Below are 25,549 nucleotides of genomic sequence, written 5' to 3'. Positions count from 1 at the left end.
GTAAAAACCTTTTCCATCCTCCTTAAAGATAAAACAAGAAGCGTTGTCTCCTCTATCAACATTTCAGCACAAGTTTAATTTCGATGAGATCATCAATTTGATTGATAACAAATCATTACAGAACAGTTTAAACAAGTCTAAATTTCTCTTGATGTTAACGACTTACAATCGCCTTTATGTTAGGTCTTAAAGCTTTATTATTCTTAAATACAACTAGTATAGTGGACCATTAAACTCCAAAGTGATCTGAAATGATATTGATTGGGGTGGCAGCCAAAATTTTAAGGTGCCTGCCTGCATTGCCTTTTACATCTTGACGCTGAATGCACGTGTAATTTTTAAAATAATCATTAATTTTCCAGTGGAACCATCTATCTGGCCTCTTTCCCTAGTGCTCTTAAATTCTCACCATTTGGGCATACACACATTCTCTTCCAACTAGTATAAATTTCCCTGGTAAATTTAAGTAGTTCCAAGCATAAGCTTACTCCACGGGAGGGAAAGGCTATCAATGTGAAACTTGTGGGCAGAGGACTGCGCCTCCGACCTGGCTGCGTCTCCTAGCTTGGCTTCCCTCCTGCCGGGTCTGCACCGAGCCCCGGCCGGCCCCGAAGGATGCAACTCGTTCGGTCCGGCTCCCAAAGTGCCGTGGACTTGGTGACCCACTTCTCGTGTCGGGCTGAGGCCACGCGGGCAAGGGACTTTTTCTGTCCCCGGCTCACGGCTGGAGCCCCCATCCTGCCGTTCGGACCAGTGCGGGCCTCGGAGGAGTGTCCCGCAGCGGACCCCCGCCCAGGAACCCCTGCAGGCAGCGAGACGGGCGCCCGGGCCAGCTCTCTGCCCCTCGCCCCCCGCGGGGACCCTGCCCGCCCCGCTGACCGGCCCCACGTTGCCAAATAGCTCAAATGCTTGTCATATTTGCGGTCGCGCGGCTCCGCGGGCTGTGCACGCGCTGCACTCGCCGCCGCCTTTGTCACCAGCCGCTTCGTCATTCGCCTGAGCACTTCTAGAGTGTGTAGGGGGCGTTACTAGTGGCAGTGGTGGTCCTCGGGCCGGAGTGTCTCCTTCTGTCTCCCCTCCTCTTTCAGCCCGTCCTTACGAGAAAATCAGGGGCGCGCCGGCCCGGCAGGGAGCTGGGGGCGGCGCTGCCACCAGGCGCCCACTGCGCCCCGCCGCCCCTTCCTGCTCCTCCTGCGGCCGCGGCCGGCCGCGGCCGGCCCCGGCCTTTATCGCGCCTCCCGGGACCGCCGGGGAGAGGCGGGCCGGGGCGGGGCCGGCGGGGGCGGGGTCGGGCGGCCAGGGGCGGGGCCTGCGGCGCCGGGGCCCGGAGCTCGCGGGAGGCTCGCGGGCCGCACGTCACTCCTGCACGGCGAGTGCTGGAGCACGACGTACCGCTCGCTCGGTCAGGGCGCCCCCTCCGCCCGCCTCCTGCTTCCTCCTCCGCTGCCTGCCGCCGCCGCCTCCACCATTGTATAATGCTCGGGGCGCGCAGGCAGAGAACGGCGGAGTCTTAGCTTCAGCCTCGCCTGCTGCCCGCTCCCCGGCGCCACCCTCGGGCCCCTGGAGCGGGGCACTCCGCATGGAGCGGGAGTAGCTGAGGAGTGGGCGGAAACCCCTCCTGATGCGTTAGTTCCCAGGTGGAGCTGCATGTGGTAAGTTCTCCCGGCGTCGGGCTGGAGGGGATCCGCGGGCGCGGGGGGCTCCGGGTGGATGGGGGGCCGGTGTTGGGACTCGGCCAGGGCTGGGAGAGCCCGGAGGGCGGAGGAGGGGCCGGGCGCCGCCGCGGGAGGGAGCCGGGGACGGAGCAGGTACGGGAGGAGCGCTCCCTCCCGCGGCCCCGGTCCGGGCCCCGCGCTCTCGGACCCCCGGCGCCTGCGGGCTGAGCCGCTGGGGGGCAGGGCCGGGGTCAGGAGGGGGTCGGGAGCTCGGAGAGCCGAGCGGCGGGCGGGGGCGCCTGGAGCTGTCGCCTCTACAGCTGGGATGTGTGTGCGCGTTGTGGCGGTTGTGTTGTTGTGAACGTGCGAGACTTTTTTTAAGGCTCGGATTGCTGGCGCGAAGGCTGCTTCACTTTTGAGTTCCGTGGCCGGGTTTGCATCCAACTTACTGTAGTGCGTTTTTGTGAATTTCCCGGTGTTTTTTTTAATAATGTTGAAAACCTTCCTCTCCACCCTCTTTTCTTTCGTCCATGCCCAAATGAATTGATTTGGGATCTACATGTATATTAAACTTAACGTCTCGTTGGTTTTTAAGTTAGAAATCTACAAGTCATCTTCGTGGTAACCGCCTATGACTGAAAGGGAGGGGGCTGAGGGGAGCCAGCTGTCCCAAGCCCTAGACTTTGTACCAGTAAGAGAGGGGGTGTCGTCACAGGGCCACTACATGGACAGAAAATCGTATTTTGTTTTGTTTTCTTGGCTATAAGTTACCTTTAGCAGAAGTGGTAGTAATAGATTGCGATGGGAGTCGAGTTTTAGGTTTAGTTTCTAAGTTTCACGAAAATATCAGGTATAGTTTGCATTGGAATAACTTTTTGCTTGCAAGCCGAGTCGTTTCAGGAGGTAGAAAGTAAGTTTTCACAGACACTGAATGGGGAGGACAGTCAGCAGAGTGAGACAGCCAGCCTCAGACCACAGCAGTTTTTATTTGAATCGAATTGGGCAGCCTCAGTTGGGCTTAGGGTAGAGAGTACATGTTTTCAAGCTTTGTTCATGAAATACGCTTTTTGATTTCCCAATGTATGTTAAGAAATATCCATAATGTGTGTAAAGAGGCTAGAAGTTGTAGTCACCAGGATTCCTGAGGCCCTAAGTGTTCACAGTAGCTTTTTGTAGTTAGAGACTAGTCCCTGACAAGAGTGAAGTGGGCTTTGGGCTTCGCTCCGCCCCTGAAGGACCGTCCACCTGAGAGCGTCTGGGCTGCTTGGCCGATGGGGGTTGGGGGTAGTTGCTCAGCTCAGCAGAAGGCATGTCTCACCCTGGCAGCTCCCATCCCTCCCCCTTTTTATAGCAGTCTATTCTGATATGAGTGTGCTAGGGTGTGCTGTGAAGATGAAAATATCCATCCTAAGATCCCAACTTCTGGAGTGAACAAGAATAGTTTGTTTGTGGATCTCTGCTTTTCTGTTTATTTTTTCAGGGTTTTTTTTCTTTTTATTTAAAAGAGACAAATGTTTAAAAGTTTTCCTTTAGCTTCATTGACTTCTTTAGAGGGGTATTATATGTTAATATAAAATTGTTTATGTCGTTCATTAAGTTTGGAATCCTTTAACAGTTTTTTTTTTTTACTTGTTTCACCCCCTAATTAAAATATACATAACCATGTTGTTCTCAGATGAGAAATCTTATTTTGGATTTGACATCCCCCAACCCCCTTTTTCCTTAACACCCGGCCCTTTTCCTTACTTCATTCAGACAGGTAAGGGAGAGGACTCACATTTTGTAAAGCCAACCAAGTGTATGTGTGACAGGAGGTGTCCTAGGGAACGGTTTTATTGTCAGGCGAATGTCACAGCGTCTTAGGTAACAGCTGCTCAAGCTTGTTTCCCTTGAAGAACTAAGAGAAGGATATTAATTCAGATTTAGAAAATCTTTACACTTCTGTTTGCTGAATTGTCCCTCTTTAAAGCTTTTCTATTTAATTGAGAAGCTAAAATATGAATTTTGCCCAGTTGCTACACACTGAATTATTACTGATAATGAGCCTAGTAAAATAGCACATATTTTGATATTTTAAAACTCATTCAAATTTGTGTGGCGACTGATAGCTTATGGTATCTGCTATTTTAAACAGGGTTCCAATGGCAGAGTAAGTTACAACACTACTTTAGAAAGGCACACACATGCATCACACACAAAAAACATTACAAAACGTATGAAGGCAGTTTGAAGATGTTCGAATGCAAATACATAAAAATTTCTATCAACTTGCAGCATGCTACTTTTATTATCAGTGTCCAATTATACTACAAGTTTACCCTCAGACAAAATATTTTACATTTTAGTAACTAAGAAAGGTGAAAGCTGGAACAGAAACTTTGAGAGGTTTCTTTTGCTGTGGTTTCTTGTTAAAAAGCACAGAAAAAAAAGTATGAAGCTTTATTTTATATTTCACATATATCAACAGAATCAAGACCACTTTGTCAATATTACCTGTGGAAAAAGCTATATATAGATAGGCGTATTTGGGGCCATGAACTTTAATTCACTCATAGAATTTTTAAAGCTTCTTGGCAACAGAAATTTTGTATTCACTGTCATGGCATATCCTATAGGAGATAGCTCTAGTTGCAATAGTTACTTGGTGCGTGAGAGAGAGAGCAAGCGCAGGCGCCGTCTCTGATTACTGAGTCCAAAGATCAGTTGTGTACTGAAGGCACCAGAAGGCAAGCTCCAGTTGACATGAAAATGGCCTCACAATAAGGGTGACACCAGCTCTCATAGGTCTTTCTGTTAATTAATACTGACTAGCAAAACATGAAAATCTAAAAGTGCCATGGCCACTTTATATGCACAACTCATATATTTTGTACATATTGTTAATAATTACTCATTAAGCAATTGGTAGAAAGCCACAAGCCAGGACTCCTGTTTAAGAAATGTGTGGCTATTTCATTTAGTTTTAGTATGTTTGAAGGAAATGGCTACTAATCTAGAAAAAATGATTGTCTCAAATGGCCAGTGCAGTTGATATTAAAGGCAAACTTATGCCCTGTGTGCAGATGCTGGGAAACCCTTATGAACAGAACTGTCCCCTGGAGCGTCCGTCACTCATTGTGTGGAGCAGTGTCTTTCTCCATTAGCACTGTGTGGCAGTTCATTCTTTGTATGAATCTGTGAATGGCATATGTCAGCCCAATAAGACGACATTCCTATTCTGAGTAATAAATAGACTCCTTGTTTTGTTTTTTTTTTCTCGGAGATCACGAGACAAACAAAACATGATTGGCTGTCTAAAAATTTTCTTTGAAATACAAATGAAAATTTTAAAGTAAAATATCACAATATATTTTATAATATATGATTTCTAATAGGACAGAACAGATACTGCCAGTTTGAACAAGCACCACATATAGACAGCGCAAACTCTCTTTTGAAAATTCTGCCCTCTTTGTGGTCTGAGGGATCCCAAAGCTGGAAAGACCCATTTGTCTTTTCTCAGAATCCTCTGTCCCTCATCTGAACTTAATGCTAGGATTCTCTGAAGTAAACCCCACAATTTGATTGATCTATTTTGGAAACCCAAGATCACCTAAGCTGTATTCCGCACCCATTGCAGTTTTCAGCTCAGAATGGAGTTGGCATCTGTGCTCCTGGCCGGCCTATTCTTACACTTGCACACTGTCTGGCCAGAGCTGGCCCTGCCTCCCCACAGGGACAGCAGATCAAGGGGTGAGTGTGCCCGGCCCACCTCCACCCTGAGTAGAGAGTGGACTGAGCTATGCGGAGGCGTGGGGTGGGGGCTGGAGGGAGAAGAGCAGAGGACAGATCTGGAGCTGACTGTGCAACTGCTATAGCAGGTCTGACTAGTTTGAGGTGCCCAAAGGCAGCTTTGTTTCTCTAGTAACTCCAGGTAGCAGCAAACTTCAGTTCTTAAAACTCATTCATGTCTGCCTTACTATCTTTTTTGTCACTTTACAAAAACCTGTAGCTTTGCAGAGTTACTAATTAATTCTAAGCTTTTTTCCTTTAAAAACCTTCCTAGGCAGTTAACTGAAAAGAAGCTAAGCATTCTCTAAGGACTTTCCCATAGAATAGTAAAGGGGAAGGGATTCTGGTTCTTACAGACATGATCTATGTCTATATATTCTGTATATCCATATGCACACTCACTGATGTTTAACAGTGGGCTGAGTGAACCTGTTGAAGAAAAGTAAAATGTACACTTGAATAGACCATGGTCAAAAACACTAAATGATCAAAAGTCTCTTGCTCCAGATCAGCCTTTAGCGCTTTGCTTGCCTCTGCTCCGGCCGGCTGCTTATCATTCCACGCCATGCACTGCAGCTCCTGGGGTTTGGAGCAGGCCTGCTGGTGTACCCCACCCTTGTGTTTAGAAGTATTGCCCAAGTTAAACTCAGAGAATCTGAAAGTCCCAAGGTCATCTCTACACCAGAACAGGTTTGCATAAAATCCTAGTCACGCTAATGAGATATCGAGCTGGCAGCTGCTTTAAACTGATCTTCCCTGTGTGGTTATCCCATTTTATAATAGGTGATACAGATTTGCTTTTCAGATTTCTTTCCTTCTTTGAGGGGACATCTCCCTGCCCATCTGTACCTCTCCTGTGTCTTCCGTGCTATCAGAGAAAACCAATCTGCCTGAGGAATTTGGGTGCTATGATCCAGAGTGGAAGAATTTTTGCTCTGCCTCTCTGCTTGTCAGGAACTTGGTGGTCTTTTCTGAACTTTTTAAGGCAAACTAATTTTTTTAAATAGTTTTACCATGTCCAGAAATATAAAATAAAATACGTTTCACTGGCAGTGATTCTTAGCTCTCTGACAAGTAGTTGGTTTACACATTAAAAATTCAATTCTTCAGGTGGTTCCTGCCTCCTTCTAAAGCTCCAGAAGACAGGTAGAATGAATAGAGTGGCAGGCTGGGGGTGGCAGGCTGGGGAGGTTGAGGAAGGCTTTCCATGAAGACCATTGAAGGTAATTGAAGAATTATGAAGTATTTTCCTTAGAAAATAAATAGTTATTACATTTAGTGTGGTACTCTGATTATTTTTATTGTATTTAAGTGACATAGCTTAAAGTTCAATGAGCCATTCATTATCAATGCACAGAAGTCCTTGGGAAGACAAACATTTTATCTCAAAATAGTCCCAAAGTAGTTATTCTTTAATGGCTGCCATATTTACAAAGTATCATTTACTCCCCTCAAGTTTAGTTGTATCCTCATTGCCTTTTTCTTTCTACAATTATTGTCTGTGTGTGAATTATTCAGGTATATGATACAAAGTTTAAATTGTCTTTGTAAAACCTTATTAGCCTACCTAATTCTTAGAGGCAACCAAATTAAACATTCGGAACATGTAGGTTACTTACATGGGACAGGTATTACATAAAATAGTTATTTCCTTCCATTTGCATGTCTCAAGTATATTTCTATTATCCTGCACCTCAAATTTTTGTACTCATGTCATGTTGTAGAAATGTGATATTGTTCTCTAGGGAATCCAAGTTTAGGCCGTACAATACAATGTTCAGTTTTACACAGTAAGTAAAAGAAACAACATTTCTCAGGTTTTCCTCTTTGGACTGCACGGATAAGTTATAAGATGAAATATGTTCTGTATTTGTAAGGAATATTTTAAGTGATTCTTTGATAGTAATGAAGCATCCAGATTTGAAGGCATGACTAGTTTTTAATTTTTAACTTTTAAGAAAAGCTTCCATTGAAGCATTTCTTGAAGTAGCATACTTTACTTTTATTCCTTAGTTTTATTCAGTGGCAAATAGTTGTCTAATAAAACCTAGAAGGCCACCTTTGGTTTTAACTAAGATGTAATTTTATCTTTCACAGAATTGTTCTAAAACCTTATATTTCCCTGTTTTAGTAAGACTTACATATATCTTGAGTCTTTTTTTTTTTTTTTAAACACAAAAACTGTCACATACTTTTGGCAAAGCCTTTCCTTTCTACTCTAAGTTCCCCACCTCCTTGACATTGTTTATTAAGGGTCTCTAGTGTGAGGGAGAAAAACAGTGTATCTTTAGGGAAAAGATGCTACAGGAGGATTGAAACAGAATCCCATCCAAGCAATTATAAATACAGGAGAAAAAATATTTTCATTATGCCCGAGAATGGGAGGTTGGGCAATGCTGGCTAGTCTTTACTAGTAAAGCACGTAATCTTATGGGAAAAATTGTCAAATCTGAGAGTTCCTTACCCTAATGTTAATGAGGCCTTAGACTCAAAATGCTAAAAACATACTCTGACACCAAATTATTATGAAGTAGTATCACAATTCAAATGATTATAAAATATAGATATGTTTATAGTTTCCAATTTTCAAATGTGGAGACTCATTATAACATTTCATCTATTATGAGCATTATTATTGAACATACAACATCATATAACCTGAACTTATAATTTAAATAGAAAGAATCCCAGCAAGTAGTTACACATAATGATCTCGCTTCATCATCTCCCTAAGGTTAACTGTGTTACATTTTATAATTAAATGGCCCCTCTCCAATGTCCTTTATGAAGGGTTTTCCCAAATAACTGCCTGAAGCAGTATCTGTTCAGTATGGAGATAATTTATAGTTATTAAGAAGTAGTAAGTAGGCCCAGTAAAGGCGTCTATCTATACTGGTAAAAGCTTAGTGCCGAATTTATTGAGACTCATTGTTTTATTGGGAGTCCATGTTGCAAGCCCCACTGGAAATTCTGAACTGTTGGTTTCTCCACGTTCACATCTCATGACTTGGGTGTGTGTTTGTTGTTGTGTGTTTGTTCTCATTTCAGGAATCCTCCAGGGATTTTAACCATGGTTTTTGAAATACCAGTATTAACTTTTATATACAGAGAAACAACCTTTCCTATACACAGTACTTCCAGAGTTTGAACCGTACCATAATTTAATTTATTTTGGCCTTGGCAAAGCTCCCAGCTTGCTTAGCAGTGTCCTGTGGATACCTGAATTTGGAAACAATCTTGAAAATGTGTATACTTTGAGAGAGCTGTAGGTAGAAATTGCAGTGAAGAATGAGACTTTTGCGCTCCTTGCTGCTCGGCTGCGCCCCCTCGTGGCTGGATGTGATGTGCTGTCTTCCAGAATTTAAAGAGTTCCAACTTGAATTGGGCGTGCTTGTTTACATGGAGCACTAATAGCTTTCTTCTGTGTGAAGAAAAAAAAAAAACCCTATCAAATTAATATAATAGTTTTCACTGGGGGTGTGAGTAATTTATTGTGCTCATTTTATATGTTTTAATTTAGAAATATGTATTGGCGTGCTGTGGTTTTTAACTTTTTATTATGGAAAATTCCAAACACATTCAAAAGTAAAAGGAAGAGTACAAAGCACCGCCTTGTACTTATCAGCCAGCCTCAGCAGGTATCAACATTTTGTCAAATCTTGTTTCATCTACATGGCCAGGTTTTGGGTTTTTTTTTGTTTGTTTGTTTTGGAGTATTTTAAAGCAAATTCCAGGCATCAGAGCATATTATGTTTTTGTTAAGTTAAGGTTAGAAACTGTATAATTCTACTCAACCTTTTACTTGAATTAAGTGTGCCATTCCCAAGTAATCCTTTTTCCTTATAAATTAAAAAAAATTCCTTAAAACTGAGAAAACAAAGCATTTTTCTAATTTTTTTTTAAATCAAGTGTACCATACTTTTAGCCAGAATCCTTAGATAAAATAAAACAATTGGCAGCATTCTCATTGTCCTTGGAAGAAGGTAATTGGTGTCCATAGCTTCATAAGAGTTGGGATTAAAACTTAAAATTCCCAGCTGGCAGAGGAACCACTAAGACAGGATATAAGAAACATTTTATACCACTTGACATTTATATTCTAAAAAGCCTATTCTCTTTCCAGATGTGTACTAACAAGGCCATAATTTATTCTAAAGAAATATTTACTTGAAACATTCCCTCCCAGAATTTGACTATGTTTTTGCTTACTAAATGCAGCTGTCAACATTTTTAAAAAATTATTTTACTAGGAGAAAAGTTTATATTTGACAAACCTCCAGTATTGGAAATTGCCTTCAATTTAATAGGAGCATGTAAAAATCTGAGAGGAGAAACTAGAATTTTAAAAATTTGGACTTTAGAAAACAACCCCAAACAGTAAAAGTTGTTTCTTAAATTTACTTGGGGCTTGACTTCCTGTTCGAATTTCAGTGTATCGTCAGGCTTTTTTTTTCTTCTTCTTCTTCTTCACTGTCAAGAAAGCCGGGAGGATTGCTCCTGCAGGTCTTCGTCAAATGCAGGGTCTCATCTTGCACAAACAGCCTAGGCTGCGTTGCCCTGCGGGCCCCCGCGCGGCCGGTGCGCAGCGGGAGAGCCCGGAGGAGGCGCCGGCAGCAAACAGTGGTATCGGGTTACAGGTTCAGAATATCGCTGGAGCACAGGAGACTGGCTTGATCTAGTGACTGGCTTTATAATTACATTGCTGATTTGTTAGGGGAGGCTTTGTCTTACTTACCAATTAGCATGGATGTTACTGCAGGGACCTCAGACATTCTGGATGAGCTTTGGTGTTTTTTTTTTTTTTTTAAAGCATCCCGATCCATAGAACTTCATGAGTTCTGTTACTAATACTCCGCCTTGTCTTTGGGCATCCTTACTTACCCTGTCTGTAAATAAGCCAGAGACGGTCTCTCCCTGTTGGAATTTTTGCCCACTCCCCTGGGCCAGACGCAGTTGTTTTGGGGTCTCAGGTTTGCTTTTGCTGTTTGGATGCCCCAGCACCTTCCCGCACTGTGCTGGAGGGGACAGCCCACATCCCGTGCCTGCTGCAGTGTCAGGACACGCGAGGCCCGGCTGAGGACGCGCCTGTTTCTCTTAGCTTCCTTTCTGATTCTGCCAGTATCATCCACCACTGCAACCTTTTCAGGGCAGCCTCTTTGTTTTCGCTGGTGTGTTTTATTGTTCCTTGGGGGAGGAGGGTGTTAAAAGCCTGGACATGATCAGATTTCTTAGTCCAGTGTGTTGTTTAAGGTGTAATATTTGAAGTGTAGAAAGTTGTCTAAGCAAACAGCTTCCCCCAGTTAGGATCGGGCTTCTCCTTCCTGCTCGGAAGTTGCTGTGTCACACTACGACAGCAGCCTGGAGGCAGGGCTCTGGGGTCCTCAGCGTCCCGCCCTCAGGCTGGTGGGAGGTTCCCTTTTGTCATGAACAGAGGCTCTCCCACTTGGATGCCTCAAAAGCAGGGTCCTAAACGCACTGGGAGACCAGCCTGTGGAGTGAAGAGAAGAGAAACAGCATATTCTGTGTTTCAGAAGTTGTCTCAAAACAATCCTGGCCCTACTTTGAGCCTCTTTTCGGCTCAGAAGTCTGCCACATGCCCAGCTAATTTTACCAGGGGCACCCCTTTCTTCTACCACCACCACCAAAAGACACCAGGAGTATGAATGTGTTTCCACTTAGGGCTGTGGGCTTTGGTGGCACAGTATGTCAGGGGAAGGGAAGGACCGCTGCCAGCCTTCTCATAAGACAATCGCCACACTTCTTTTTTCTTCCAAAGAGGTGGGTACATGAGGGCAGATCACTACTTTGAGTGTTGGCGTTGGGTTAAAGGCCTCATCTTTCTGGTTTTAGCGTTAGCATTGACACCTCTAGACTTGTCAGCAACCAGTGGTCACACCAGCAGCCATATGGGACAGTGTGTCTGATGAGGTTAGGGATACAGCTTGGTGTTTTTTTTGTTTTGTTTTGTTTTGTTTTTTTGGAGACGGAGTTTTACTCTGTCACCCAGGCTGGAGTGCAGTGGCGCGATCTCGGCTCACTGCAAACTCCGCCTCCCGGGTTCACGCCATTCTCCTGCCTCAGCCTCCTGAGTAGCTGGGACTACAGGTACCCGCCACCGCCTGGCTAATTTTTTGTATTTTTAGTAGAGATGGGGTTTCACCGTGTTAGCCAGGGTGGTCTCGATCTCCTGACCTCGTGATCCACCCGCCTCGGCCTTCCAAAGTGCTGGGATTACAGGCGTGAGCCACCTTGCCCTGCGAAGGCATACAGCTTGTTAAAGCTCCCCTTTGAATGAGGAGCCTTTTTCCTGAGAGCTGTTAGCTAGCGTTTTGAAAACGTTCCTGTTGAAGTATAGCGTGCATGTAGAGCCGTGCAGGATCCCGCGTGTGCAGGCCGGTGACTCATCATGAGGCAGGCCCCAGCTGTGCTCTCCACCCAGGTGAGCGGCAGAGCATGGCCAGCTCACCCCACTAGCCGCCCGTACACCACGGCAGACACTGTAGTTCAGTGTTGCCTTGTTACCTGACTTTTAAAACAACATACCACTTAATTGTGAAGCCTGCTGCTCTCCTGAGAAGGGAGCATACAGAATGTGTAGTTGTTGCTGTTTCCCAAAAGGAAATTGGAAAAAGCTCTTGAAAACGTACACAAGGTACAAACCAGTTGGGCTTCTAAGGCGATGCTTTCCTGAGTTCCCCGTCTGTCCCCGCACCAGGTCAGGGTGGTGCCGAGCTGCACAAGCCCCAGGGGTGCAGGACCAGGTGTCTCCACTCAATCTTTGATTCCTTTTTGGTCACAAGACCAGTCACACCTTCCCCAATTATTTCCTCTCTTAAGAATTTAGAACTAAGCTGTGAATTTGACCCCCTTTTAAAGTCATTTTGTGGCATGAATTCTCTTTCTCCAGAGTAGAAAAGTCTATCAGTGAGAGTTTTCCTTCCGCCCGGGCTAATGACAATCATTTGGGATGAATCAAGTTAAAACATAATGCAGAGTTTTACATCTGTGAAGACTTTTGCATCTTTTTTTGACTGGCACAGAGAAACCCAGCAAGCCAGCCTTGGTGGTCTGAGGAGGGCTCCCTGTGCGGCCTCCTACAGCCCCCACACTGCCCCTGCCCCCCCAACCCAGGGTCTGTCGAGGGAACCACCAGGACGCTGTGATGCTGCAGAGGCTGGGGTGAGCCTGCAGGTTAAAGCAGTGGTTTTTGTTGGTGGTGGTAGGATGACAGAAGTGGTAGTTTGGAAAAGTCAATTTAATACTCTCACTTTAAAAAATCATAACATTTACTTTGACAGTTCAAATAACATTAAAGGACAGTAATTTAAAAAAAAAAAGATTTTTAAAAAGATGTAGCTTTTAAATAGTTGAAAAACCTTGAGCTAAAGATAACCTTTTCTGATTCATCTTCAAAAAAATTGTTTGCATTTTTTTTCCAAAATGCAAAATGTAGTAGTGGGAGATGTTACTTACTCTTTTAAACGTAAGTACTGTTTCAGTTCCTTTCTGGGCTTTGGATAAGATCCCACTGCCATCACTTTAAGACCCCAGCAAGGAGAATCTGGGCCCCACTGGGCCAGTAGGATCTGACACATCAGTTTGAGACCCTGAGTTTTGTCATTAAAATTGAGTATAAGACATCTTAACTCTGCGTGCAGTATTTTGTTTTCTAATGTCAGTTGTCAGTTGCTATCACAAAAATGCTGTTCATTCCTTTTTGTCCTGCTAAATTAGACACAAATAAGGAAGGCCTTGGGAATCAAGATTAACTGAATAAAGATATCCTCCGGCCTAAACTTGAAATGGCCTGATGAGGAAAAGAAGAAATGGTAATTCTCAAAGTGAGGTTCCCAGACCAGCATCACCCGAAAGTTTGTTGGAAATGCTGATTTGAGGGCTCCTCCCCAGACATGCTGAAAGAGAAATATGGGAGGTGGGGCCCAACGGCCTGTGCTTATCAGGCCTCCAGGTGAACCTAAGGCTTGTCCGTGGTTGAGAAGTGAAGGATGGGAGAGCCGCTCACAGAAGAGCTTCTCAGCTGGAGCTTTCCTGCCTACTCCATATCTCAGCTGCTGGTGCATTGCGCGACCCTGATCCCGCCTGTAAAACCGTTCAACTCCGAGGTCTGTGCAACCCTCCCATTCCTCAGACCCTCCCTCCCAGACACAGTTCACGCTCAAGGACACACACACACACACCTGGCTCTGTTTTTACAGTGCTGCCCTGGCTGCCCCTTGGTGTCTTTCCTCATTATTTCCACTTACTGTTCGTGTATTCAGTGACCATCTATGGAGCATCTTGTGTTGGAGACTACCTTATGCTGAGGGTACAGAAGTGAACAAAACACACACCGTCTGTGCCCTAGGGGGCTCACTATCTTGAGATGGGAAACAGATATGAAGAGACAATCCCACCTTAAATGTAACTTTCAAATAGGCTACAAATCTATTTCCAGCAGTCTCCCGGCCGCCCCCAGCCCACAGTAATCTCTCAGATTGCTTACTGTGGGAGTCACTCAGATTCTGGAATTGCAAAGCCCCAAAAAGTCAAGTCATTCAGGCTCCTGGTCCTCTGGTCCTTTGACTTTTGAGGACACTTCTAGTGACATTTGTTACTTTTGAGCATCTACCCAGATTGTAGCTTTTGAAGGCAGGGTCCTTCCTAATGAAAAGTTGCACAGTTGAAAACTAGTTTTCATGTACAGAGTTGTGTTTAGTATGAAGTTTCCTGGAAAACTCCAGAAGTTTTCATTTATGTCTCTACCAATGAGTTTTGTTCTTTATGTTTGAAACTTAGTTTGCTGCAGTTAATAGCAGTTAAAATTAATGTTTAGAAAACCAGAATGCTAGGAATTTGTTTCTAAAAAGTTTATTGGGGAGGGAGGTCATTTGATCTCAAACCTCATGTTAAGAGCCAATGACTATTCAGTAGAAAAGTGGCTGGGGTTAGTTTTAGGCCCCTTAGGGTGGGCAGAAGATGGAGGAGCACCCACGTGATTCCTCCACGTGGGAGTCTCCAACCCCGCCCTGGAGCTCAGGGGCACTTTGGGTCTTTAGAAAAATTGGGTAGAAGACATGGGTTTTTTAGGCTTTGGTCTTCACCAGCCAAGGGAGGAGATAAAGTGGAGTGTCAAAGCCCCGGGGTGACCTAGGAAGCCAATGGGTCACAGGCCCCCCTTTCGTGAACTCCAGGCCCCCCCTCCGCAGGAACCACAGCACCCCCTCCCTAGAGTCACCTACACGTCCTTAGCTCCTGCTACTGCTTCATCTTCAAGTTGCAGCCCAGCGAAGCCTTTTTGAAAGGTCCCTTGCCTCTCCAAAGGGTGGTTAAAGAGCTATTGTTATTTTCTTAGAGTGCCTGAGGAAAGAGAGGCTTCTGAGGAGCTAGGAGCTGGGCCGACCCTGACCTTGGCCAGCCTGAGCCAGGCCCAGAAAGGCCTGGAGGGGCTGATGCGCCTGGCTTCTTGCCCTCCGGTTCTTGAGGGCATGTCGTGTCTTTTCTCCTTTAAATTGGGCCCTGCTTAAGGAGGTGGTTGTTACACAAAGCCCTGAGAGTGAGAGTTCCCACTGCCCTCCCCCTCTAGGAGTTGGAGGCCTCTTCTGAATATGCTCATTGTAATGTTACTGCAGTGTGTCAGGCAAACTTAAGGAAAATGACTTCACTTTTTATTATGTTGCATTGTATTCCTTTCTGTAACAGCTTAGATAGAATTAGGATTAAAAATCAAGATTATATGCATTTTACAATCTTACTGGGTGTGTGGAGTCAGTTTTGCCTTATAATACAAAACAGAGAAATGGTGGCAAAACTGCCTTGAGGTACACTTCATCAGGGGTCCGTATTCACACCTCTGAGGTGCATCCAAGATTTGGTGTGTGTGTCTGTTCCTGCTTACAGGTTTTGCTTACCGAGCCCTCTGCCCTCCCCTTCCAGGCAGCATTACAGATGTCTTATCAGGCTTTCTCTAAATCATTAGGATTAGCACACAGCTCTGGCCAGCTGGATCATTCTAATTGGAAATTAGGTGCTTCTCACATTGAAATCCTTCTGAAAATATCTCCAAAGATCTCTTTCAGCTATGGGAATTCTACTAAATGCCTATAATATTTTGCATGGCCTGTATACTTTTTAAATAGGTGAATTCTGTAGATTCAGTGATTATTTCTAGAAAAATGCAGTATTAAAAAAGCCCTGTTGTTTGTTCTAGTAACAAGTCTTTAAAAAGACAATTCTGCATTGATGACTGTAAGAAGAGTCTACACCATCTTCCCTAAATGTTACCTCTCCTCCAGAAAACCGATAAAAATCCACAGTGGCAATAAGCTAGTTTGTTTTCGGTTGTATTTTGTTTTACACTTACGGACAGTGCTTCTCAAGCTTTCTGTGATTAGGGGCTCTCTTGGTTCCCTGGCCCCCCAATCTTTCACAGACTTCAGTAAGACACAATAAAAATAATTATCATAAAATGAAATAAAAATACAAAGTTATGGAAAATAGAAGCCCCATTTTAAAAATTCCATGTACAGACATAACAGTTACTGTGTAAATTTGCTGTAGAAGTTTCTAAATAATAAAATGTCTCTCTCTACATACCTCATCGTGGACCAGTAACAGTTCGCAGACAGGCACCATCTGTGGCCACACTTTGAGAAACACTATTTTAGAGTGTGTATGTATCTGTGTACTCACACATTTAAGTATGTTGCCATGATCACATTATAACATAACATAAATCTTAGAACTTTATATGAGAATTAAATGCACTTAGCTCTTTAGCAAAAGTGAAATTTTTCTATAAGTATTTAAATGCTTAAATTATAAGCAAATACCAATAGCATACCTGTGAATACAGTTATGTTTCAAAACCCAGTTGTCCAGTAGTACCTCTCATGCATGAAGTAGAAAACGTTTTGCAATATGAGATGAAACCACCTCCACTCTGATTCACCTTCAAGTTTAAACAGATACTTTAGATAGGAAATGTTCTATGCAAAGTAAATACACAGATGAGAATTTTAGCACTAAACAGTAGGAAATATGTCTATCACTTGAAGTATTAGACAAACCAACTGTTACTATCATAACCTTTATTGCCCTGAAGAACAATTAATTACTGGACTGGTCATTGTGATTGACATTGACAGCCATTTTTTAAATGTTAACAAAATGAGGGGAAATGTTTCATGCAAGTAACTCCACATTCTTCATAAGTATTAACAAATCTCAAGCCGATTCTGATGTTGATAGGTCGCAGCTTGTTCATCTGTCTCTTCTGGAGACCTCATGAGACATGAGGTAAGACGGTTACCCCAAGTGGCAGGCTCCATGTCTACCTGTATACTGGCCTTGAGGGCAGCATGGCCTGCTTTGTGACAAAGTATGAGAAAGAAGTTCTGTGAAGTTTATATTCCATTTAGCCTTATTTCTTTAGGTCGAGACTTGAAATTCAAAATGGTGATCAGGTGTAGGAGGGGCTATTTAGCCTCTTGAAGGCCAGGGTGTTCATGTGGGACTCCCCACTGGGCCTGGCCAAATGCCTATGACAGTGTAGATGTGGATAAGTTATTAAAGGATTGAATGAGGTGTGATCAATCAGCTGAAGCAGTTCATTAAAAGGTAAGTGGCATTTAGAAGAGAAATTGAATAACTACAAAGCAGTTGCCTGTATATGAAGACATGAGAGTGAGTCACACTGAGGACAGGATTAGCAGGAGTCCCTGAGAGTGCTGTAGCTGGAGGCGGGGACGGTGAGGGAGCAAGCATGGGCCTGGCTTCATTCGAACCACGATCCTGGTCCGAACACCAAAAGACAGGTTTCTTGTTAAATGGTTAGAAAGTGAGATCTTTGAGGCAAAGGCTAATGAACTTGAGATTGTTCTGTTTAGACAGTAGAAGTTCTGAAAGGAGGTTGTGACGATGTCACATGATCTTGGAAAGTTGGAAGGCCCACTCCCCAGAAGGTGACAACCAGTTGATAAAATGTATTCACTAAGGCCAGAGCAAGAGAGGACACAGCCTGGCCTGTGAGCAGCAGGCAAGATGGGGCAGGAGTTCCTGGCTGCAGTTTTAAAATTCAACCCATTACCAGATTCTCAGGGTCTGAGATATGAGGTCATGGTTTCCTCAAAATATGCATGTATCTCTGGAATCACAGGAGGTAGTTTGTTAGGAAATGTCTCGAGTACCCAAACAGCAATGCTTATAATCAGAGCTAATTACTTCAAAATTAATCCAGTTGTCTTCAAACATAACTGTGTGTGGATGAAGTTGAGCCAAGGAAGAACTTAGGCTGGGACATACGCATTCCTCCCCTTGATTCTAAATGAAAAGTGGCGGCGGCTCAGTCACTGTGGTCATTTAACACAGGTGCAGTGCTTCACCACATGTCCCCAACCAGGCAGAAAGACTCCGTGCTTAATGAGGAAGGAAAAGCATTTTGAAAGCACACACAGTTCTACCCAAATTATACATGTTACCTTTCTTTAACTTGGTTCTTTTAATCCTTTAAGAAGTGCTCAAGCTGTAATCTATGACACCTGTATCTGTTTAGGTCATAGCATTGTAAGTGTTTTCTTGGGCTTTAAAAATAAATCTACGTGGGGGAGGGAAATCGAACCTGCATGATAATCTTAGGCATGCGAACACAAGCACATGAGCTGAGAAAGTCAAAATCATGGTTTCCATGGTAATTCTTAACTTGTCTGTGTCGTACACATTTCTCAAGAAATACACTCACCAGACTACCTAGTGATAAAAATTGCTCCACAGGCATACAAAGGTGGATTTTCTAACTCTCTCTTATTGTAAAAGGTCTTCCTTCCTCCCACCCCTAATTAATCCACGTGTACTTGTAAATAACCCTGGGCAGGAAACTGAGGTCCAAGTCCTGCCCTCTAAATCAGTCTCTTTTTTTATGGGAGAAATCAGCTTTCATGTGATTAATGCCATTTCCTCTCTCTCCCCTCTGCAGATATATGTTGGGTAAAGGAGGAAAACGGAAGTTTGATGAGCATGAAGATGGGCTGGAAGGCAAAATCGTGTCTCCCTGTGACGGTCCATCCAAGGTGTCTTACACCTTACAGCGCCAGACTATCTTCAACATTTCCCTTATGAAACTCTATAACCACAGGCCCCTGACAGAGCCCAGCTTGCAAAAGACCGTTTTAATTAACAACATGTTGAGGCGGATCCAGGAGGAACTCAAACAGGAAGGCAGCCTGAGGCCCATGTTCACCCCCTCCTCCCAGCCCACCACCGAGCCCAGCGACAGCTACCGAGAGGCCCCGCCGGCCTTCAGCCACCTGGCGTCCCCGTCCTCCCACCCCTGCGACCTCGGAAGCACTACGCCCCTGGAGGCCTGCCTCACCCCGGCCTCACTGCTCGAGGACGACGATGACACGTTTTGCACCTCCCAGGCCATGCAGCCCACGGCTCCCACCAAACTGTCACCTCCAGCCCTCTTGCCAGAAAAGGACAGTTTCTCCTCTGCCTTGGACGAGATCGAGGAGCTCTGTCCCACATCTACCTCCACAGAGGCGGCCACGGCTGCGACTGACAGTGTGAAAGGGACCTCCAGCGAGGCTGGCACCCAGAAACTCGACGGTCCTCAAGAGAGCCGCGCAGATGACTCAAAACTGATGGACTCTCTGCCTGGGAATTTTGAAATAACGACGTCCACGGGTTTCCTGACAGACTTGACCCTGGATGACATCCTGTTTGCTGACATTGATACGTCCATGTATGATTTTGACCCCTGCACTTCCTCATCAGGGACAGCCTCAAAAATGGCCCCTGTGTCTGCCGACGACCTCCTCAAAACTCTGGCTCCTTACAGCAGTCAGCCTGTCACCCCAAGTCAGCCTTTCAAAATGGACCTCACAGAGCTGGACCACATCATGGAGGTGCTTGTTGGGTCCTAAGACCCAGGGACCCAGCGACTATGCCCACCCAGACCCCAGAGCGTTCCCATAACCCTGACAGTTCTCCACACTGTGCATGCACCCTTGCTTGCCTTTTTCAGAGAAAAAGAAAATTTTACAACAGGATCACACTAGTTTTTGCTTTGAGCAGAGTTGGAGTGCCTTCATCCAAGTATGACCACTTTTAATACACTTTTTTGAGTGGTTCCTCAGAGACCTACTACCCTGGTATAGGAAAGAATCCATTTGAAGACAATGTTGCAATGTTGAATGACAAAAATAAACAGTTCAAGTGAAGCACAAGGATTAAGTTGGAAAAGCTGTAAATTGCATGTGCATATTTGTCTATTTTTTCTATAAGTTTTATTGCAAGAGGTAAAGAAGAAAACTATATATATATATCTTATTTAGATAATCTCAGTACCTTTTCTGGCATTTTTGCCCTGTATAGGTTGACTTGGCAATTCGGCCTTTTTAGAGGCATTAACTACTCCTCGTAAGTGTTGCATTTACATGGCTGTTTAGAAAACTGCTGCCCAAATTTATTTTATATTTTTGTACAGATTCTGCAGTTTATGATATTGTTTTTCTAAAAACAAATGCTGTTTATACATATGAGATAGCTATTTTGATAGGATTTGCTCACATAGTTCCTGCAAACTTCAGATGTACAAGTTGCACTTGTACTTTTATAGAGTTGTAATGTTTTATATGTGTATGGTGCAAGAGAAAATTGGATCAAATCAATCTGCAGTTGATGTCCCCAAATGCAAACACAGGCACACACATGCACACACCCATAAACACACACACAGTGCTTTAAGAAAGGGCCAGGTGATATCACACCCAAATTTCACAAGCACTGACCCCCTGGCACCAACACCCGCCAGTACTGTGACTTCCAAAGCCAGAGCCACATGTGCTCATCAAACTTGCATTAAGCAGTTGGCGGGAGATGGCTGTGGAGCTGGGGGTTTAAGTGATGGTTCTCTTTTGCTCCCTCTTTTGAGGGTAAAGCTACTGTCTTTCTTAAGAGTGTATTTATGCCAAGTTTGCGCTTTTAATTGTTTTTATTTTGTTTTTTAATGAAAACCCAGATCTTTCCTTTTTGGCATAATTTTTATGATGACCTGAAATTTTACATCCGAACAAAATTTTACATCCGAAAAGCAACCAACTTCTTCATGGAACTCAGCCCTGTTGCAATGCTTAGGGCCCTTAAAGAAGAAAATCTCCCCAGAAGGCATCCATCATGTTGCTTAATTGTCTTCTGCAGCTTCCTTTCCCTAGAGCTTTCCCTGTGTTGCTAAGAGCTGAAAATGGCATCTTCGTGATCACCACAGTGAGCTTGGCTCGCCTCGGCCGGCCCGGGATGCACTCTTACAACATGTGTGACTCTTGAACCTGGAGTTCATCACATTACGTCACAGCTTCCCATCTGGTTGCTTTCCTGAGTCAGCTACTTCACACTTGTCAAGGCTGTTTTACCCCAAAACTCAGACAGGACTTTCTATGCATGTTTTCCCTCCTCCCCCCAATTCCCCCCCCCATCACCTTATCTCCCAGGACACACTTGAGAAGTAGCTTTTTATTCCTAGTGGTGTACATTTAATTTTAAAAAGGTTGCAATGTATCATGCTTGTTGCCGAAACTGTTTATGGCCTTCTTGTTTCAGTTTTTTCTTTTCTTCCAATGGTACTTTAGCTGTTGAGTGCAGGTTACAACCTATATTGTTATGCAGATGGCTTCTTTAGGAATAACTTTTATATTTATTTAAAAATTTTTAAATTATGGGATGTTTTGTTGTTGTTGTTGTCTTTGTTGTTGGTCATTTGTCAATATTCAGTCACCAATTCTGCTCACTTCTTGCCATGGATAAAATTGGGTCTTTCTGGCTAATTAAAAAAGACAACTTTATAAAATGGCACTTTAAGCAAGCCATAGTTAGTTTTATTTTTGTAATGCACATGGCAAAGCAAAGACGTTTGTGATGAAGGAACTGCTCATCTAAGCAAAAGATTTGAGTATGATATGATAAAGGCTTTCTACATTCTAATTTACTTTTTCCCCCCACTTGAATGTGTTTTAAAGGCTAATTATCAGCTCAGTAGAGCAGTGAGAAACTGATCAAATTGCACTTGTTCTCCTACAAGCAACCTCCACGCAGACACCTCGTACTGCTACAGGTGTGTCATTTCCTTTAATAGGACCAGGGACCATGTAACTGAGGTGAGGGTTGTAGTAGATGCTTCCAGTGTCAGTATGCCTGTTAATTTTAAGAGCTTCCCTTTCTTGCAGAGAACAAGTCTGCCCAGATTCCATGCTTTCTATAACTGGAGGACCTGGCAAACCTGCCGCATGCTGCACACATCTACCTACGTACACATATACAATAGTATTGATGATTCTGAACAATAACAGGGTAAAACAGTTGGTTTGCCATTGTTAAAAACTGATTTACAGTAACTTACAACAACTGTACTTTTGTTGGATTAGCAAATCATGTGTTTAAACAAATCCCATATGTTGGGCAACAGTTCAAATAAGCACGGAGAAGTGTTGCCCAAACTTGGTTCTCTGACTCTTATGTATTTGTAAGGCTGGGCTTCAAAATCAAAACAAAAACCCCAAAAACAGCAGGCAAATGCTTTTTAACTCTGACACCGTTGCCATAAATCCCTGATACTCAAAGTCTAACAAGAAAGACATGGAAAATTAGCAGCCCATTTTCAGAAAGATCAAAATGATCTAGGGTTCTAATTGCTTTTGCATCCTATTCTTACAAAGTGATGTCCCAACAGGGAACAGTAGGAGCTGGAGTGGGATCTCCAAGTCCCAGTTTGAGTGTGGGATGTGCTTCCAGCAGTGCCTTCCCTTTATGAAAGACATCACATGGCATCCAGGGCCAGGCAGGCAGCTTGAGGTGCCTTTACGAGAAAACCGAGCTGGGGCTGGGAGAGGACAGTTATTGACACTGATGTGCAATGAAGTGACAAGATGAGAGCAGAATCGTAAGAGCTTTGAATTTGAAGTGAGTTTTTTTCCCCCCATAAGTTATTTATTCCTTTTTTCTGTGTAAATATATTTATTTTACTGTGGAGCGCTAACATCTGGATCGTAACATGTGCAGAATGTATGGTAGGAATGTATTCTCTTGTAGGAATGTAAATCTGTATTAAAAGGGGGTCCAAGCCAGGCCCCCAGGTCTTCTCATTGTATGCACAGTCCGCATTCATTTTTACTCTTCTCTAATATGGGTCTATTTGAAATATGCAAAAGGTATGAGGAATGTTTTAATACCTCCAAATTTTTAAGAAAAGCATCAAAGGGTTGATATTTTTTAAAGTTTTTTTAGTAGCACTTTCTCTGGATGACAGAAGGAGCAACCACATGGGCACCCTTGTTCATACCAAAGGGTGAGCAGTGGCCAGAGCCTCCTCTGCACCTCTCGAGTGTCTTTACCAATTGAGCTTTTTATCGCCATAGCCCCTTGGAGTGCCCCAGCTGCCCTGAGGTCAATCAAGGAAAATTTCTTAATGAAATAAGCTCCAAAGAGCCAAAGTATCAACTTACAGATCGTTTTTAAAGCTTAAATTTATGAACCACCTTTGTGGTAAACAATGAATTATGAATACCGCAGGGCAGCCTTCTTAAATGACAAATGTAAAAAAAAAAAAAAAAAAGACTCTACTTCGTGCAGCAATTGCTACTCTATACGAATTGTCTTAATTTGAAAACCTTGCTGTTACAAATTGGACCTTTATACATTTTCTGAAAACAATGAAAAGAGTATATTTAACCTTTTCTGGCTGTAAATGGTTACCTTCCTGTAACTGCCCCGCACCTGGAGGCATGGAGTTGTGTGCATCCTGCTTATGTACAATTGTTTTCAGTGTTTCTAAGAATGAGTCTGAATGGTTCTTGAAAATTAGCCAGGATCAAATGCTATTGCAGACAAAGCCAATAAAAAGTTGGACTTCTTTTGGGGATAACAAGTTTTGGAAGAGAAATGCAGGCCATATGTGCGCATGACCGAGATTTTGAAAAAAGATGTACATAGTGACATGTTTGGTGCATGGTTTTTGAGGAGGGCTTTTGTCAAAAAGGAGGTATAACCTTTCCCCCACAGACCTGAGAGCTGTGCCTTTTCTATGCAATATTACAGACGTTACATCGGAACCCAGATGGCTGTATTCACATGTAGGTTTGGGCTGTAATCTAAACAATTGGACAGATTAAATGTACATGGAAATGAGCAGTCTTACTTTTGTAGTTTTATATTATACAATAAACAGTTAAAAGATGAGAGAGGCATGCTTGCAGTTTTCTTTTGATGGGAGCTCAATCAGCTTATTTGTGACAGTTTGCTCACATTAAGCAAAGTCCAGCAAGAGAGAGCAGCAGGGGGGCCCCGAAGGAGTGCGTGCTGTTGGTCTTCCTGAACCGTCCTGGTCTCAGGAACCACCCTTCTCTCCTGGTTCTCCTCCTGCTTCTTGGACCCTTCTGGACCTCCTTTTTCTCACATCTGTGCCCCAGCTCTCTTTAAAACATTGTCTTTTCCAGGGTTTGGCCCATGACTGCACTTCACTGAGCCTCCATTCCTGCTGCCTCTTGCTTTCCCAAGGTGATCTAATCCACTCAGGACTCTCAAAACTGGTCTCCAGCCCCTGCCTCTCTCCTGAGCTCCAGACTTCAGTATCTACCAAGATTTGCTCCCTCACTCTCAGCGCGTCTAAAGAGCTCTCGTTTCCCCTGGGGGCTGATTCTTCTGTGGGCTCGTTGTCTTCAGCACTCTGCTCCACGCTTGGCTCAGTTGCCCACCCTTGCACCCTGTTCCGCAGTCCCAGCCATGTCATTCCCTCTGCCACCACCTCTCCATCCTCACCATAGCGTCCCCAGCTCGGACCCTTTCTCTCTCCTTGCCTCTGACCGCCGTACCTGTTTCCTGACTAGTCTTCCTGCTGTGATCGTCTCTCTACCATCCCTGATGCTGGAGTTGACATTCTAAAATGCCAGTGGGTCACGTGGTTGTTGCACGTCCTCCAGGTGTACCCACTGATTATACCATCTGGACCCTGCCCCTGCTGTCTTCCAGTGGGGAGTGGGGGAGACCCTGTGCAACCTCCTTGGCCACTGGGCTGTCTTGGATGGAGTCATGGGATCTGGCCTCACCTGGCCTAGGCAGTTTTTTATTTTGGTGTGGTTGGGCCACCACACCACTGGCAAGGGAAAAGGGATGGATGTGTGAGACCTGGGAAGTGAAGGTTCAGCTCAATCAGCAGTGGAATGTGAGGTGGGGTGTGAAGTGCTGGGGAGGTGTTAGGGGCTGAATTGTTTCCCCCAAAAAGGTAGGTTTCAGTACCTCAGAATGTGACTTTAATTTGGAAGTGGGGTCTTTATAGAGGTAATTAGGTTAAAATGAGGTTATTAGTGTGGGCCCTAATTCAGTGGCTAATGTCCTTATAAAAAGATATTTGAACACATACATGCATACATGGAGAAGGCCATGTGACAGTGAAGGCAGAGACTGGGGCGGTGGATCTACAAACCAAGGAGTGCCAAAGATACCAGCAAACCACCAGAAGGCAGGAGAGAGGCATGGGACAGACACTTTCTTACGGCCCTCAAAGCAACCAAGCCTGCTAGCACCTCAATCCTGGACTTCTAGCTCTAGAAAAATAAATTTCTGTTGTTCCAGCCACCCAGTCTGGGACACTTTGTTTCAGCAGCCCTAGCACACTGATGCAGGGGTAGAAGAACAGGGCGAGCACTTTCCAGACACCCGGCGGAGATAAGCACCAGGCAACTAGGACGGAGGGTCCGTTGTTCAGTAGAGTGGTTTGTATCTGGAATTAGGAGCTTCTGCTATTAATTAATGATAAAACTTTGGCAAATCATTCAATCTCTGTATTTATGAGGATGAGATAAAGCGTGGCTCCCAGAGCTCTTTGAAAATGTTGACAGTACAATGAAAATGCAAATTATGAATGTCGTATCTGTCCTCATGCCTAGAGCTGTGCCCAGCATATGGTAGGCACTCAAAATGTTTGTTGAATGAAAAGAAGAAAAAACAATCTTGTAGTTCATCTTTCTTTATAGAATGAGAGAAGCCCAGCACTCAACATCTTTCTTGTCTGGGTCCTGGGTTCACACCACACTCGCCCTCAGGATGTGCTGCTTTGCCAGCACGCACCAGCAGCCTGC

General features: G+C 44.2%; 2 protein-coding genes and 1 long non-coding RNA gene across 6 annotated transcripts, besides 13 other annotated features; 1 reads left to right on the top strand and 2 right to left on the bottom strand.

Annotated features, from left to right (window-relative positions):
• On the bottom strand, positions 49–1,201 carry LOC124907776 (uncharacterized). Its single transcript, XM_047446580.1, has one exon. The coding sequence runs from the start codon at positions 990–992 to the stop codon at positions 561–563; it is 432 nt and encodes a 143-aa protein (XP_047302536.1). The 5' UTR covers positions 993–1,201; the 3' UTR covers positions 49–560.
• Positions 726–1,545: a silencer, noted in NCBI's record as "silent region_11562". NCBI's record gives its function as "represses an Ori minimal core promoter by ATAC-STARR-seq in GM12878 lymphoblastoid cells {active_cell/tissue: GM12878}" and the evidence as "EXISTENCE:reporter gene assay evidence [ECO:0000049][PMID:35858748]".
• Positions 726–1,577: a biological region, named in NCBI's record as "Sharpr-MPRA regulatory region 66".
• Positions 1,283–1,577: a silencer, noted in NCBI's record as "tiled region #66; HepG2 Repressive non-DNase unmatched - State 1:Tss". NCBI's record gives its function as "represses a minimal TATA promoter and a strong SV40 promoter by Sharpr-MPRA in HepG2 cells {active_cell/tissue: HepG2}" and the evidence as "EXISTENCE:reporter gene assay evidence [ECO:0000049][PMID:27701403]".
• On the top strand, positions 1,359–23,651 carry SERTAD2 (SERTA domain containing 2). Its single transcript, NM_014755.3, has 2 exons — positions 1,359–1,652; positions 18,397–23,651. Exon 2 carries the CDS (start codon positions 18,401–18,403, stop codon positions 19,343–19,345), a length of 945 nt encoding a protein of 314 aa, NP_055570.1. The 5' UTR covers positions 1,359–1,652; positions 18,397–18,400; the 3' UTR covers positions 19,346–23,651.
• Positions 1,686–2,015: a silencer, noted in NCBI's record as "silent region_11561". NCBI's record gives its function as "represses an Ori minimal core promoter by ATAC-STARR-seq in GM12878 lymphoblastoid cells {active_cell/tissue: GM12878}" and the evidence as "EXISTENCE:reporter gene assay evidence [ECO:0000049][PMID:35858748]".
• Positions 2,316–2,395: a silencer, noted in NCBI's record as "silent region_11560". NCBI's record gives its function as "represses an Ori minimal core promoter by ATAC-STARR-seq in GM12878 lymphoblastoid cells {active_cell/tissue: GM12878}" and the evidence as "EXISTENCE:reporter gene assay evidence [ECO:0000049][PMID:35858748]".
• On the bottom strand, positions 6,706–18,348 carry SERTAD2-AS1 (SERTAD2 antisense RNA 1). Of its 4 annotated transcripts, none has more exons than XR_001739502.2 (2): positions 9,701–18,348; positions 6,706–8,847 (listed from the first exon to the last, which is right to left on the bottom strand). It is a non-coding gene; the product is annotated as an SERTAD2 antisense RNA 1 (long non-coding RNA). The 4 variants fall into 4 exon arrangements; XR_940172.3 differs by having other exon boundaries at positions 9,828–18,348; XR_007086374.1 differs by having other exon boundaries at positions 10,162–18,348.
• Positions 8,630–8,679: a silencer, noted in NCBI's record as "silent region_11559". NCBI's record gives its function as "represses an Ori minimal core promoter by ATAC-STARR-seq in GM12878 lymphoblastoid cells {active_cell/tissue: GM12878}" and the evidence as "EXISTENCE:reporter gene assay evidence [ECO:0000049][PMID:35858748]".
• Positions 9,891–10,061: a silencer, noted in NCBI's record as "fragment chr2:64872345-64872515 (GRCh37/hg19 assembly coordinates)". NCBI's record gives its function as "represses an EF-1alpha promoter that drives an FKBP-Casp9 reporter gene in an ReSE screen in phorbol 12-myristate 13-acetate-treated (for megakaryocytic differentiation) K562 erythroleukemia cells {active_cell/tissue: K562(+PMA)}" and the evidence as "EXISTENCE:reporter gene assay evidence [ECO:0000049][PMID:32094911]".
• Positions 10,576–10,735: an enhancer, noted in NCBI's record as "active region_15901". NCBI's record gives its function as "activates an Ori minimal core promoter by ATAC-STARR-seq in GM12878 lymphoblastoid cells {active_cell/tissue: GM12878}" and the evidence as "EXISTENCE:reporter gene assay evidence [ECO:0000049][PMID:35858748]".
• Positions 10,704–11,487: an enhancer, noted in NCBI's record as "H3K27ac-H3K4me1 hESC enhancer chr2:64870919-64871702 (GRCh37/hg19 assembly coordinates)". NCBI's record gives its function as "activates a minimal SCP1, AML or CMV promoter by ChIP-STARR-seq in naive H9 embryonic stem cells {active_cell/tissue: H9 hESC(naive)}" and the evidence as "EXISTENCE:reporter gene assay evidence [ECO:0000049][PMID:30033119]".
• Positions 10,906–10,985: an enhancer, noted in NCBI's record as "active region_15900". NCBI's record gives its function as "activates an Ori minimal core promoter by ATAC-STARR-seq in GM12878 lymphoblastoid cells {active_cell/tissue: GM12878}" and the evidence as "EXISTENCE:reporter gene assay evidence [ECO:0000049][PMID:35858748]".
• Positions 11,006–11,105: an enhancer, noted in NCBI's record as "active region_15899". NCBI's record gives its function as "activates an Ori minimal core promoter by ATAC-STARR-seq in GM12878 lymphoblastoid cells {active_cell/tissue: GM12878}" and the evidence as "EXISTENCE:reporter gene assay evidence [ECO:0000049][PMID:35858748]".
• Positions 11,666–11,975: an enhancer, noted in NCBI's record as "active region_15898". NCBI's record gives its function as "activates an Ori minimal core promoter by ATAC-STARR-seq in GM12878 lymphoblastoid cells {active_cell/tissue: GM12878}" and the evidence as "EXISTENCE:reporter gene assay evidence [ECO:0000049][PMID:35858748]".
• Positions 12,271–13,054: an enhancer, noted in NCBI's record as "H3K4me1 hESC enhancer chr2:64869352-64870135 (GRCh37/hg19 assembly coordinates)". NCBI's record gives its function as "activates a minimal SCP1, AML or CMV promoter by ChIP-STARR-seq in primed H9 embryonic stem cells {active_cell/tissue: H9 hESC(primed)}" and the evidence as "EXISTENCE:reporter gene assay evidence [ECO:0000049][PMID:30033119]".
• Positions 23,652–25,549: the final 1,898 nt, after the last annotated feature.

Source organism: Homo sapiens, chromosome 2, assembly GCF_000001405.40.
Source record: "Homo sapiens chromosome 2, GRCh38.p14 Primary Assembly".
Lineage (NCBI taxonomy): Eukaryota > Metazoa > Chordata > Mammalia > Primates > Hominidae > Homo > Homo sapiens.
This window is presented reverse-complemented; position numbering and strand designations above follow the sequence as displayed.

Bases quoted from the DNA above. Each gene is read 5' to 3' on its own strand.
- LOC124907776 (XM_047446580.1), bottom strand. From the start codon at position 992: ATGACGAAGCGGCTGGTGACAAAGGCGGCGGCGAGTGCAGCGCGTGCA.
- SERTAD2 (NM_014755.3), top strand. From the start codon at position 18,401: ATGTTGGGTAAAGGAGGAAAACGGAAGTTTGATGAGCATGAAGATGGG.